The sequence below is a fragment of the Homo sapiens genome, chromosome 10 (assembly GCF_000001405.40).
Source record: "Homo sapiens chromosome 10, GRCh38.p14 Primary Assembly".
Classification (NCBI taxonomy): Eukaryota; Metazoa; Chordata; class Mammalia; order Primates; family Hominidae; genus Homo; species Homo sapiens.
In genome coordinates this window covers 92,707,501-92,721,241 of record NC_000010.11, presented here as the reverse complement: position 1 = coordinate 92,721,241, position 13,741 = coordinate 92,707,501, and the positions used below count along the sequence as shown (strand labels likewise).

Genomic DNA, 13,741 nt, shown 5'->3' with positions numbered 1-13,741 from the left:
CACTGTAAGTACTGGGATTAGGAGTGTGAGCCACCATGCCCAGCCTCAATGAACATTTATCGAGTGCCTTTGATAGTGAAAGTCCTGCAGTATATACAAGGTCAATGTAAGAGATAGCCCTTTCTCTTATAAAGAGTCAGATAGGTATTAAATTAATGTACCAAAAGGCAGAATGTCCTAAGGACTACATTGGAAACAGATAAAGTACAATAAAAACACATAAGAAGGATGGTTAATAGTGAGCAATCAGCAATGACTTCCTGGAGGAGGTGGCATGTGTAAGCTCCTTGAATGACAAATAATGCACCACTGGTAGAGATATAGGAAGGGCAGCTCCCAGCTGCCAGACAGTGTGAAATAGTGAGTGGGGTCAAATCCAGGTTTCATCACTTCCTAGCTACACAGCTTCATCTCTAGCCCTCGGTTTCCTCATCTGGCCAAGTAGAGGGCAATTACATGAACCTGTTCAGGCTGTTGTGGGATAACATCTCTGACAGTTTCAAATAGCGCACAGTAGGGCTCCCTGATGCTCTGTTCCCTTTCAGGTTCACTGAGTCATTTCAGAATCCACTGCTCTAGGGCCACTGTCCAAAAAAGCTTCGTCTGTATTCCTCTGGGAAAACACTCTTGTCAAGGCTACACTTCAGTCAAATATTCAACAGCAGGCCACTTAAACTCACAACAGGATTTGTAAAGGAAATGAGCACTGAAGCTTAACTTCAGTAGTGTGACGAGGAGCTACTGTCATAGAACAAATGGGTTGTTTATCAGCTTTCTATCTGTCCCTAACAAAACCATGTGAAATGAGGCATTCAGCCCCTGTTTTTTTAAAAAGATGACAAACACTAGCTAATTTACTGGAGTAGAACATATTGAGCCAAATGTTTAGTTTTGCATTAAATCTATATCTAGCATTTTCATTAAAGGGGGCAAATTGTAGACTTTACTGATGCTTCAGTGCCCATTTCAGATTAATGCTTAACATTTAAAACTGTGCATGAAATTGCAAATGTATTGGCAAACACATAAGAAGGAGCAGACTAAGTGCTATGTGCTTATTCATAGCCAGCCATTTCTGAGGCTGCCAATGTGTTATTAAGGTGGTTATTTCCCTACACTTGCCTAGGCTGTGAATAGTTAGTACCCCTGATTACTTAGTTAAATACGCTTCTAGATGGAGAGAGGGAAGGCATGGAAGAAATGAGTGATTATCTAAATTTTGTGCAATGAACAATTAAGTCATAATATACTTCTTGATTCATGGTTGATATTTCCAGAGTAATTAGGTTAGTATCCTTCAGAAAAAGCTCTTCACTTCCATAATCATCATACATGGCCACATTTTAGCTGATGTAGTTGAGGAATAAAAAGGACTAAGGATCTTAGAGAAAAAATAATTTTTCAAACAGAACCTTAATTTTTTGCCACCATTAAAACTAGTAAGATGATACTTTTCCCTGTTGTGAGATGAGAACTTTGGTTTATTTTCTGTAATTTTAAACCTTGACTCAGATATTGTCTGACATGTGGTTATCCAAATGACTGGAGAGAAACTCTGTAGTGTATTTCACGATCTAGAGTATTAAAAATTAAATGCAATGAAAAGCAATGTAATTTGGTACCAAGAAGCAAGCTAGAGTAATTTTTATGAAAGTGGGTTTTGGAATCAGACCCTTTGGGTTTGAACCCCAGCTTTGGTCCCTACCAGCAATTATGGACGGGCAGACCCACCTGAATATGGGATGGAGGAGAGAGGTGGTGTCCCATGAGCAAAAATAAAAAGGGTGCAAGGAGCTGAAAACAACAGGTGTCTAGGCTACTTCAAGGGATGGTGATGGAACTGAGGGGCACAGAGCAGAGAGACCAAATGCCCACTCTCAAATCCCTGGGGTAGACCAGGGCCCAGAAGCCAAGGAGTTTTAATTTGAGGCTGAGAAATCATTTACAACTAGGATGAAGATCCACAAAACAGGTTGGCATCCAGCCCTACTATATCATAGCAGCTCCATATTCAGGGTCTGCCCCAACCACAGCAGGGTTGGTGAGCACCAGCCATCGGAGCAAGCCATATAAACACAGGGGCCAGGAAGAGATTTCTTATTGGTTTCAGAGAGTGAGATGGGTGTGTCAGAAAGGAGAGTCCATGGAATGATCTAGAGACTTCCAGACATTTTATTTTGACTTTGTGTCTCATTCATCCAGGTATCCTTTCTGAAGTCTTTTGTTGTTTTTGTTTTTGTTTGTGTTTTGAGATAGAATCTCACTCTGTTGTCCAGGCTGGAGTGCAGTGGTGCAATCTCTGCTCACTGCAACTTCTGCCTCCCGGGTTCAAGCAATTCTCCTGCCTCAGCCTCCCAAGTAGCTGGGATTACAGGTGCCTGCCACCACGCCCAGCTAATTTTTGGATTTTTAGTAGAGACGAGGTTTTGCTATGTTGGTCAGGCTGGTCTCAAACTCCTGACCACAAGTGATCCACCCGCCTCGGCCTCCCAAAGCACTGGGATTACAGGAGTGAGTGACCACACCCGGCCATCTCTGAAGTTATAGCATACAAGATGAAACACGGACTACTGACCAAGGCCGTTGCTGAGTGCCTCGGTATCACCCAGAACCTCCACCCAATCTCCAGGATGGCTTTTGGTTCTAGAAATACCCACAACAATTCTGTTACTATCTTTACGGATCCTGGCTTTCTATTTTGGTTCCAGGTTCCCAGACAATAAAACATCAACATCCAGCCTCTATTTTCCGAACGGTGTTCACAGAATATTAATTCTAAGGGAAATAATGAGTGCTACACAAGCAAAGGGTTCTATGATCAAACAAACTTTAGGGACACTTTGTTAAACAAAGTTAAATTTATTTCTCAAGGCCAAGTGTGGTGGCTCATGCCTGCAATCTCAACACTTTGGGTGGCCGAGGCTGGTGGATTGCCTAAGGTCAGGAGTTTGAGACAACCCTGACCAACATGGTGAAACCCCGTCTCTACTAAAACTACAAAATTAGCCAGGTGTGGTGGTGCACGCCTGTAATCTCAGCTACTTGACAGGCTGAGGCAGGAGAATTGCTTGAACCTGGGAGGCGGAGGTTGCAGTGAGCCGAGATTGTGCCATTGCACTCCAGCCTGGGCAACAAGAGCAAGACTCCATCTCAATATATATGTATTTCTCTATTTTGCAGGAATTCTCAGGGTCTTTAAGATATGAATGTGCCATGTAAATATCCAGAAGAGGATAAGACATGACAAATTTCTCAAGTTTATTCGACCCTAGGATCCTTTCTTTCTCATATCCCACACTCTGTGAGGCTGGCATACACAAGAGAAAAATGGATAACCAGCCGGGCGCGGTGGCTCACGCCTGTAATCCCAGCACTTTGAGAGGCCAAAGCGGGCAGATCACCTAAGGTCAGGAGGGAGCTCGAGACCAGCATGGCCAACATGGCAAAACCCCATCTCTACTAAAAATACAAAAATTATCTGGGCATAGTGGCGGGCACCTATAATCACAGCTACTCGGGAGGCTGAGGAAGGAGAATCGCTTGAACCCGGGAGGCAGAGGTTGGTTGCAGTGAGCCAAGATTGTGCCACTGTGCACCAGCCTGGGTAACAGAGTGAGTGAGACTCTGTCTCAAAAACAAAACAAAAAAAAACCCCGCAATGTGTCAAATAAATACATTAAAAAATGGATAACCTATAAGACATACAAAACCATAATTTTGTTTTAGTCCATCAGCGAATTGCGCTGTTATACAAAGCAATCAAGGGAACTGAATTCCTAAGGCTCACAAGTCCTTCCAAAAAGGGACAAGACACACCAGCTGTTTCCTCTTTTGGCAGAGAATGGGAAGAACAGACAATCATCAGAAAACTGGATAAGAAGAAAACAAATTCTTACCGGCAAAGGATAAGCTAGCATGGCAGTTTAGAAGCCCTGAGCACGCTGGACACAGAGAAATCCCCATCTGCTTGCCATCCTTTTCCACTGGCCTCTACTCGGCATGCATGAGAAAGACTGGAAACAGCACAGTAGGCCTGGGAGACCCTTCCCCCTTGGTGGTACAGCCCTACAGCACCTGCCAAGGTTTTAGGGTGGAGCAGGCATACCTAGGGAAGCCCATTCATGCTTTGAGCCTTGTCTGAGGACAAGGTAGTGCCTGTCTGCCCCTGGGGGAGGGGCAAGAAACACACTCTGATATAAATTAGCGGTCTACTATTGCCAGGTGAAGGACAGAAATCTCTCTTGGGCCCCAGACACTCCACCACTACAAAGTCAGAGTTCAGTAGCTACAGGAGAAAGGGGAGGAAACCTGCCTGTGCTCTAGATCCAGAACTCAGCAGGAAGCAGAGGTTATCCCTAGGAGAAGCCCTGAAATGTTAAAAAAAAAAAAAAAAAAAAAAAGTTACCACTCCAAGAAATTATGCATGTCAATGAAAGGGTCAAATCAAGGTAGACAGGGACAGACTGGCTGGTTGGGAGACTGGGGAGAAATACAAGGACAGTATAGTGGGCACTGATGTTAGCAGACCTGGCCCAGGATCCAGGGTCACCCCCTAATAGCTACATGACTTTTGCAATGTTATCCAAAGTCTCCAAGTCTTAGTTTCCTACATGTAAAAAGGGTGAGCCGGCCACGTTGGATCATGCCTGTAATCCCAGCACTTTGGGAGGCCGAGGTCGGCGGTCACTTCAAGTCAGGCGTTCAAGACCAGCCTGGCCAACATGGTGAAACCCTGTCTCTACTAAAAATACAAAAGTTAGCTGGGCATGATGGCAGACGCCTGTAATACCAGCTGCTCAGGAGGCTGAGGCAGGAGAATCGCTTGAACCTGGGAGGTGGAGGTTGCGGTGAGCAGAAATCATGCCACTGCACTCCAGCCTGGGTGACAGAGCGAGACTCCACCTCAAAAAAAAAAAAGAAAAAAAAAAGGTGAGAGTAATGGAATCTTCCCCAGAGGAATGCTGGGGAACTTGGAGCCATGTAAAACACGTGGCATAGTGCCTGGCACATAGAAAACAATCAATTGCTTTGATTCCAGCAGTTGTTGGAAACTGATAAGGAGCGGTTGCAAAAGGCACTTTCCTATTTGTAGAGGAAATTAGTTGTTTTTACCTGACAATCTTTCAGTTCCTCTTCTTCTGTTAACATCTCCCTAGTTTTCTTCCAGGAAGCCCCTTATCCACAATCAATTTACGTGATTCATGTGGCACTGACCCCTCCCCATCCCTACCTTTAGGAGTAGGGATATGACCACATCCTGGCCAACCATCATGTTCCATGTCTGGGCTGTAGCGATAAGTTCAAGGATGAACACGCATGTATGCCAAGGCAGCCCAATGAGAGACAGTCCTGAGACTTCTCATGAAACTATTCTATCTCCTAAAGTTGCTAAGCCTGAAGTTGTGAGGATTGGGAACAACTATAACTCTCAGGCATTGCTAGAGGGAATGCGACATGGTACAGCCACCAGGGTGGGCTGAATAAGTGTTCCCCCCAAAATTCATGTCCATCCTGAACCTAAAAATGTGACCTTACTTGAAAATAGAGTCTTTGCAGATATAATTAGTTAAAGTAAGATCATACTTGATAAGGGTGGGCTCTAAACCTAATGACTAGTGTCCTTAAAGGAAAAAACCGGTCGCTCACGCCTGTAATCCCAGCACTTTGGGAGGCCGAGGCAGGCAAATCACCAAGTCAGGAGATCAAGACCACGGTGAAACCCCGTCTCTACTAAAAATACAAAAAATTAGCCAGGCGCAGTGGCAGGCACCTGTAGTCCCAGCTACTCAGAGGCTGAGGCAGGAGAATGGCGTGAACCCGGGAGGCGGAGCTTGCAGTGAGCCGAGACTGAGCCACTGCACTCCAACCTGGGCGACAGAGCAAGACTCGGTCTCAAAAAAAAAAAAAAAAAAAGGGAAAAACACAGAAAGACACAGGAGAGAAGGCCATGTGCAGATAAAGGCAGAGATTGAGTAACACAGTTACAAACCAAGGAATTCCAAAGTTTGCAGGAGCTACCAGAAGGTGAGAAGAGGAAGGAAGGGTCAGGCTAGTGGCTCATGACTGTCATCCCAATGACGGCAGCTGACCATGGCCACAGACCCAGGCCTCCTGCTCTACTGAGCAGGCAGGGGCCCTGCCCCCCTGGGTGGGGATACGGGCACCCAAACTGCAGCTGTGGACGCAAGCCTCCCCTCACTCTTGAGGGTGGCCAGGAGCAGGCAGGATCTGCCCTCCTGGGTGCAACTGCAGCCCCTGGACCTGCAGCTGTAGACCTGGGCCTCCTGCTCCACAGAGCAGGCAGGAGCCAGGGACAAGCAGAGGAAGAGGCTTCCAAGTTGGAGGGGTGGTAGCTCCCAGAGTGCAGCTGCAGCTGCCCTCCCAGGCACAGGACCCAGGCATCTCTGCAGCCTGCACCCGCGGGGGCCCAAGAAGGCCCCTCCCCAAACATACCTGCAGGCCTGGGGTTGTCTGCTCCCATTGCCTGGCCTCTCCTCTCCCAGTGCCTGCTCCAATCTCCAAGCAGGGTTGGGGCTGAGCCCCGGGGTCATGAATGGCAGCAGAAGGCAGACAGATTCCTGGAGGGAAGGGAGCAGGTTCCAGTAAGGCCACACCTTCAGGCCAGAGAGGGCCTGAAGGCTGGGGGCTGGGCTGCCAGTCCCGCAGACTGGAGTGGGGACTTGTGCCTCCTCCAGGTCACCTATGGCTGCCCATGGACCAATCAACACATACTTCCTCCCCTCTGAGCCCTGGGATCAGCAAGAAGAGGGCAGAGGATGGAGAGACAATGGCAAGACTAGCTGCAGAGAAGAGCTACCCTCTCTGCTGAGAGCAGAGATGCTCTTAACAACCCGCCTGTGGAGAGGAGCTACCCTCTCCAGGGCCTCGTCTCTGCTGAGAGCTGAACACTCCATGGGACAACCTGCCTACAGAGAGGAGCTACCCACTGTGGGTCTCCTCTGAGCTGTGCTAACACTAAATAAAGCTCCCCTTTGACTTCTTCACCTTTCACTTGTCTGTGTACCTCATTCTTCCTGGACACAAGAAGTCAGGCAAAGGTGCCACCGGCCACAAAGGTTTACAGGAAGAAAATCGATACCCCAAAGATCCCAGTACTTTGGGAGGCCAAGGCGGGCAGATCACTTAAGGTCAGGTTAAGGTCAGAAGTTTGAGACCAGCCTGGCCAACACAGTGAAATGCTGTCTCTACTAAAAAGACAAAAATTAGCTGGGCAAGGTGGTGGGCACCTGTAATCCCAGCTACTTGGCAGCCTGGGGCAGGAGTATTGCTGGAACCCAGCAGAAAGAGGCTGCAGTGAGCTGAGATTGCCCCACTGTACTCCAGCCTAGGCAATAGAGCGGGTCTGTCTCAGGAAAAAAAAAAGGAAGGAAGAATTCTCTCCTAGAGCTTTCAGAGGGAGTATGGGCTGGCCAACATTTTGAATTTGGACTTCGAGCCTCACAGAACTATAAGGCAATAAAATTCTATTGTTTTAAGCCACTAAGACCATGGTAATTCATTATGGTGGCTCTACAAAACTGAAAATGTTTGGCGGTTTCTTATTAAATTAAACCTTCATTTATCCTATAATTCAGGAATCCTATTCCTAGATACCGACCCAAGAGAAATGAGAACATATGTTTACACAAATACATTTAAGTGAACTGTTTATAGCTGCTTTATTTGTAATCACCAACTGGAAACAATTCAAATGTTCTTCAAGTAGCAAATAAATAAACAAACTGAGCTACATCCATACTATGGAATACTACTCAGAAACAAAGGGACTATTAATAAGCATATGAACACAGATAAACCTCAAATGCATTGTGCTAAGTGAAAAATTAAAAAAAAAAACCTTCAAAAGGCATGACACCACAAACCTACAGCCATCTAATCTTCAGCAAAGTCAACAAAAATAAGCAATGGGGAAAGGACTCCCCTATTCAATAACTGGTGCTGGGATAGCTGGCTATCCATATGCAGAAGAACGAAACTGGATCCTTCCCTCTTACCATACATAAAAATTAACTCGAGATGGATTAAAAGATTTAAATGTTAGACCTCAAATTATAAAAATCCTAGAAGAAAATCTCGAAAACATCATTCTGAACATTGGCCTTGGGAAAGAATTTATGACTAAGTCCTCAAAAGCAATTGCAACAAAAACAAAAATTGACAAATGGAACCTAATTAAACTAAAGAGCCTGTGCACACAAAAGAAACTATCAACAGAGTAAATAGACAACCTACAGAATGGGAGAGAAAATACTCAGAAACTGCATCAGACAAAGGTCTAATATCCAAAATTATAAGAAACTTAAATAATGCAACAGGCAAAAAACAAATAACCACATTAAAAAGTGGACAAAAGACATAAGCAGACACTTCTCAAAAGAAGACACACAAGCAGGCAACAAATATATGAAAAAATGCTCAACATCACTAGTCATCAGAGAAATGCAAATCAAAACCACAGCGAGATACCATCTCACACTAGTCAGAACAGCTATTATTAAAAAGTCAAAAAACATCAGATGCTGGCGAGGCTGTGGAGAAAAGGGAACGCCTGTATACCACTGGTGGTAATTGAAATTAGTTCAGCCGCTGTGGGAAGCACTTTGGAGAAATCTCAGCTTGAGTTTCCCATCCAGTGTAGGAGACTGACAGGAGGTCACAGTATTGACAATGTGGAGAACTTCAACAGGAACTACTTTTGAGCTATTGTGATAATAAATCAGATTTGTATAGTTTTCTCAAAATAGAAAATAACCTCAAAACATCCATCTGAAGAAATAAGGTCATGAAAAGAGGAAGACAAAGGAGGATGCAAAACTGAGCAGTCACAAACTTGACAAAAATTAAGTACTACATGTGAACAAGAAAAATTGCTTTCAGTATATCTATCAACCTAACTGTGGGTTACCAATTCAGAAATGTTCACTAGTACAAACAGATTTTTAGTCTTTTTGTTTATCTAACCTTTTGTAAACCTAAAGTAAACAATGTATTAAGCACCAATTATCTCTCCTCTTTGACAGAGACAGTATGTAATTCTTAAGAAAATAAGCTCAGGGCCTGGCGCGATGGCTCACGCCTGCAATCCCAGAACTTTGGGAGGCTGAGGCGGGCAGATGACCTGAGGTCAGGAGATCGAGACCATCCTGGCTAACACAGTGAAACCCCGTCTCTACTAAAAAATACAAAATAATTAGTGGGGCATGGTGGCGGGCACCTGTAGTCCCAGCTACTCAGGAGGCTGAGGCAGGAGAATGGCATGAACCCGGGAGGTGGAGCTTGCAGTGAGCCAAGATCGCACCACTGCACTCCAGCCTGGGTGACAGAGCAAGACCCTGTCTCAAAAAAAAAAAAAAAAAACCACAAACACAAAAATTATCTGGGCGTGGTGGCGTGTACCTGTGGTCTCAGCTACTTGGGAAGCTAGGCATGAAAATCCCTTGAAGCCAGGAGGCGGAGGTTGCAGTGAGCTGAGATCACGTCACTGCACTCCAGCCTAGGCAACAGAGTGAGACTCCATTTCAAAAAAAATTAAAATAAAAAAAAAGAAAGTACAGAAATAAACCCATATGTCTATAGTTAATTGATCTTCAGCAGGGTGCTAAAACCATTCAATGGGAAAAGCATAATCTCTATAAGTGGTACTAGGACAATTGGATATCGGCTTGCAAAACAATGAAGCTTTGGGCGGGCATGATGGCTCACGCCTGTAATCCCAGCACTTTGGGAGGCCGAGGTGGGTGGATCACTTGAGGTCAGGAGTTCAAGACCAGCCTGGCCAACATGGTGAAACCTGTGTCTACTAAAAATACAAAAATTTGCCAGGCCTGGTGGCAGATGCCTGTAATCCCAGCTACTTGGGAGGCTGAGGCAGGAGAGTTGCTTGAACCCAGGAGGCCGAGGTTGCAGTGAGCCGAGATCACGCCACTGTACTCTAGCCTGGGCAACAGAGTGAGACTCTGTCTCAAAAAAAAAAAAAAACATTAAAAAAAAAAAGAATGAAGCTGCCTCATACCATATCCAAAAAGTAACTCAAAATGAATCAACAACTCAAATATAAGAGCTAAAATAATAAATCTCTTTGAAGAGATCATAGGATTAAATCTTTATGACCTTGGATTTGACAATTGATTCTTAACTATGACACCAAAAGCTTGAGCAACAAAAGAAAAATTGAGAAATGGAACTTCATCAAAATTAAAAACTTCTATGCAAAAAAGGACATTATCAAAAAAGTGAAAGAATGGTTATCAATAATTTATTGTATATTTCAAAGTAGCTAGAAGATGTGGAATGTTCTCAACAAAAAGAAATGATAAATGTTTGAGGTGATGGATGTTCCAGTTACCCTGATTTGATCATTACACATTGTATGCACATATCAAAATATCATGTGTACCCTCTAAATAAGTACAATTGTTGTGTATCAATTTTTAAAAAGTGAAAAGACAACCTACAGAATGGGAAAAAAATATTTGCAAATCATATATCTGATAATCGTTTAGTATCCAGAATATGTAACAAACTCCTACAACTCAACAACAAAAAAGACAAACAACACAATTTTTAAATGAGTAAAGAATTTGAAAAGACATTTCTCCAAAGAAGGTATACAGGCTGGTCTGAACATAGTGAGTTATCTCAGTTGATTGTTCAGTCAGTTATAGATCGAACTCCTTGTTCTACTCTTTCCCCCTTCTCACTACTGCACTTGACTACTCAAAAATAAAAAATAAAAAAGCAAAGAAGGTATACAAATGCAAATAGGCATATAAAAGGTGCCCAACATCATTAGTCATTAGAGAAATGCAAATCAAAACCACAATGATATACCACTTCATACCCATGAGCTTGCCTATAATTTTTCTATAAAAGGACAAGTATTGGTAAGGACGGAGAAACTGGAATCCTCAAACATTGCTGGTGGGAATGTAAAATGGCACAGTGATGATGGAAAATGGTTTAGAATTTCCTCAAAAAGTTAAATATACAATTGTCATATGGCCCAGCAATTTCACTCCTAGGCATATATCCCAAGTAATTGAAAATAGATACTCAAATAAGTACTTGGACACACATGTTCATAGCAGCACTACTCACAATTGCCAAAAGGTGGAAACAACCCAAATGTCCATCAACTAACAAATGGATAAATAAACTGTGTTTTATTTATACAATGAAATATTGTCCAGCCATAAAAAGGAATGAAGTACTGATACATGCTACAAGGTGGATGAGCCTCAAACACGTTATGCTAATGTTTTATAAATAAGACACGAAAGATCACATATTGTATTATTCCATTTGTGTGAAATATTTAGAATAAGTAAACCCATCCAGAAAGCAGATTGGTGGTTGCCAGAAAATGGGGAGAAGAGAGAATGGGGAGTGACTGCTTAATGGATACAGAGTTTTATTTTGGAAAGATGATAATGTTTTGGAACAGGCCGGGCATGGTGGCTCCCGCCTGTAATCCCTGAACTTTGGGAGGCCGAGGCAGGTAGATCACCTGAGGTCAGGAGTTCGAGACCATCCTGGCCAACATGGTGAAACCCCATCTCTACCAAAAATACAAAACCTTAGCCAGGTGTGGTGGCACTTGCCTGTAATCCCAGCTATTCAGGAGGCTAAGGCAGGAGAATCGCTTGAACCCAGCAGGTGGAGGTTGCAGTGAGCCAAGATCACACCACTGCACTCCAGCCTGAGCAACAAAAGCTAAATCAAAAAAAAAAAAAAAAGGAAAAGAAAAGAAAATCTTTTGGAACAAATAAAGGTGGTGTTTGCACAACATTTTGAATGTACTAAATGCCACTGAATTGTTCACTTTAAAATGGCTAATTTTATGTTATATTTCACCTCAATAAACTTGAAAATTTTTAATGAGTATGTATTAAATAAAGAAAATATTTAACTTTACTGAAGACATTCATAAAGATTTGAAAAAAATGCAAAAAATATAAGTCTCCAGTAAGTGTTAGCTATTTTTTAAATCTAAAGACTTTTTCTTTCTTTCTTTCTTTCTTTTTTTTTCTTTGAGATGGAGTCTCGCTCTGTCACCCAGGCTGGAGTGCAATGGCACGATCTCGGCTCACTGCAACCTCCACCTCGCAGGTTCAAGTGATTCTCCTGCCTCAGCCTCCCGAGTAGCTGGGATTACAGGCATGCGCCACCATGCCCGGCTAATTTTGTATTTTTAGTAGAGACGTGGTTTCTCCGTGTTGGTCAGGCTGGTCTCGAACTCCCTACTTCAGGTGATCTGCCTGCCTTGGCCTCCCAAAGTGCTGGTATTACAGGTATGAGTCACTGTGCCTGGCCATCTAAAGACTTTTTCTAATACACCACTGGAGTGGTACACTATAATTTAAAATAGAAATGGACTAGCAGGCAGGGCACTTGCTCCTCCATGCAGAGGATTCAGCCAATGATGCACATAAAGCTTCCTAAGTTCTGTTTCTTGAGTTTGGTGCTCTGTAGGTTCTGAGAGCACTTTCATCTGCAGTGCAAGAGTCATGAACAGAAGGCCAGGCACGGTGGCTCACGCCTGTAATCCCAGCACTCTAGGAGGCTGAGGCGAGTGGATCACCTGAGGTCAGGAGTTTGAGACCAGCCTGACCAATATGGTGAAACCGCATCTCTACTAAAAATACAAAAATTAGCCGGGCGTGGTGGCAGGCGCCTGTAATCCCAGCTACTCGGTAGGCTGAGACAGGAGAATCACTTGAATCCGGGAGACGGAGGTTGCAGTAAGCCGAGATGACGCCACTGCACTCCAGCCTGGGCAACAAAGAGAGGCTCAGTCTCACAAAAAAAAAAAAAAAAAAAAAAAAAAAAGTCATGCATAGGAAAACCCAGATATGGTAGACTCTGATGAGAAAGCTAGCTGTTGTTTGTTTCAAAAGCCAACTCAACCTTCGAAGAAGGAGAAATCTGATTATATGTAAGAATGAACAGAAGCTCTCATCCTTCTGCTACAGAAAACAAATTCTAGTCCTTAAGCCCAGCCACAGATATACAAAATACAAAAACAAAATTGAAAGAACATTGCAATTAGTCCAGAAACCAAGGTGTTTTTAGACATTTAATCCAGGAAAAGGGCAAAAAGGAATGATTATTGCATGAATGGAACACTTAGTTAGGTATTTAGGGGTAATTTTTTATTTTAGTTCTTCACCTGATATTGTGGAGCAAAATAAATTTCAGGTAGATTAAGCATTAAATGTAAAATAATGAGGGGTGGGGGAGAGATGAAAGAGTTTTAGGGGGAGGGTTTTTGTTTAATGTATGTGGATGTTCATTTGCTTTCTGAATGAGGGAATCTTTCTAAGCTTACGAGAAAAGAAAGAAATCATAAAAGAGATATTGTTACATTTGACTACACAAAAATGTTCCATTTTCCTAAATATCTTTTTAAATAACTGAGAAACATTTTTGCAATAAATAAGGCAAAAAGCTTATATCTTCCAACATAAAGAATTCAAATAAATCAGCTGGGCATGGTGGCTCCCGCCTGTAATCTCAGCACTTTGGGAGGCAGAGGCGGGTGGATCACCTGAGGTCAGGAGTTTGAGACCAGCCTGACCAAAATGGTGAAACCCCATCTCTACTAAAAATACAAAAAATTAGCCGGGCATGGGGGTGTACACCTGTGGTTCCAGCTACTTGGGAGACTGAGGCAGGAGAATCAGTTGAACCCGGGAGGTGGAGGTTGCAGTGAGCCGAGATG

General features: G+C 43.4%; 3 annotated features.

Annotated features, from left to right (window-relative positions):
- Positions 411-966: an enhancer, noted in NCBI's record as "NANOG hESC enhancer chr10:94480033-94480588 (GRCh37/hg19 assembly coordinates)". NCBI's record gives its function as "activates a minimal SCP1, AML or CMV promoter by ChIP-STARR-seq in naive H9 embryonic stem cells {active_cell/tissue: H9 hESC(naive)}" and the evidence as "EXISTENCE:reporter gene assay evidence [ECO:0000049][PMID:30033119]".
- Positions 8,526-8,725: an enhancer, noted in NCBI's record as "active region_3776". NCBI's record gives its function as "activates an Ori minimal core promoter by ATAC-STARR-seq in GM12878 lymphoblastoid cells {active_cell/tissue: GM12878}" and the evidence as "EXISTENCE:reporter gene assay evidence [ECO:0000049][PMID:35858748]".
- Positions 8,786-8,865: an enhancer, noted in NCBI's record as "active region_3775". NCBI's record gives its function as "activates an Ori minimal core promoter by ATAC-STARR-seq in GM12878 lymphoblastoid cells {active_cell/tissue: GM12878}" and the evidence as "EXISTENCE:reporter gene assay evidence [ECO:0000049][PMID:35858748]".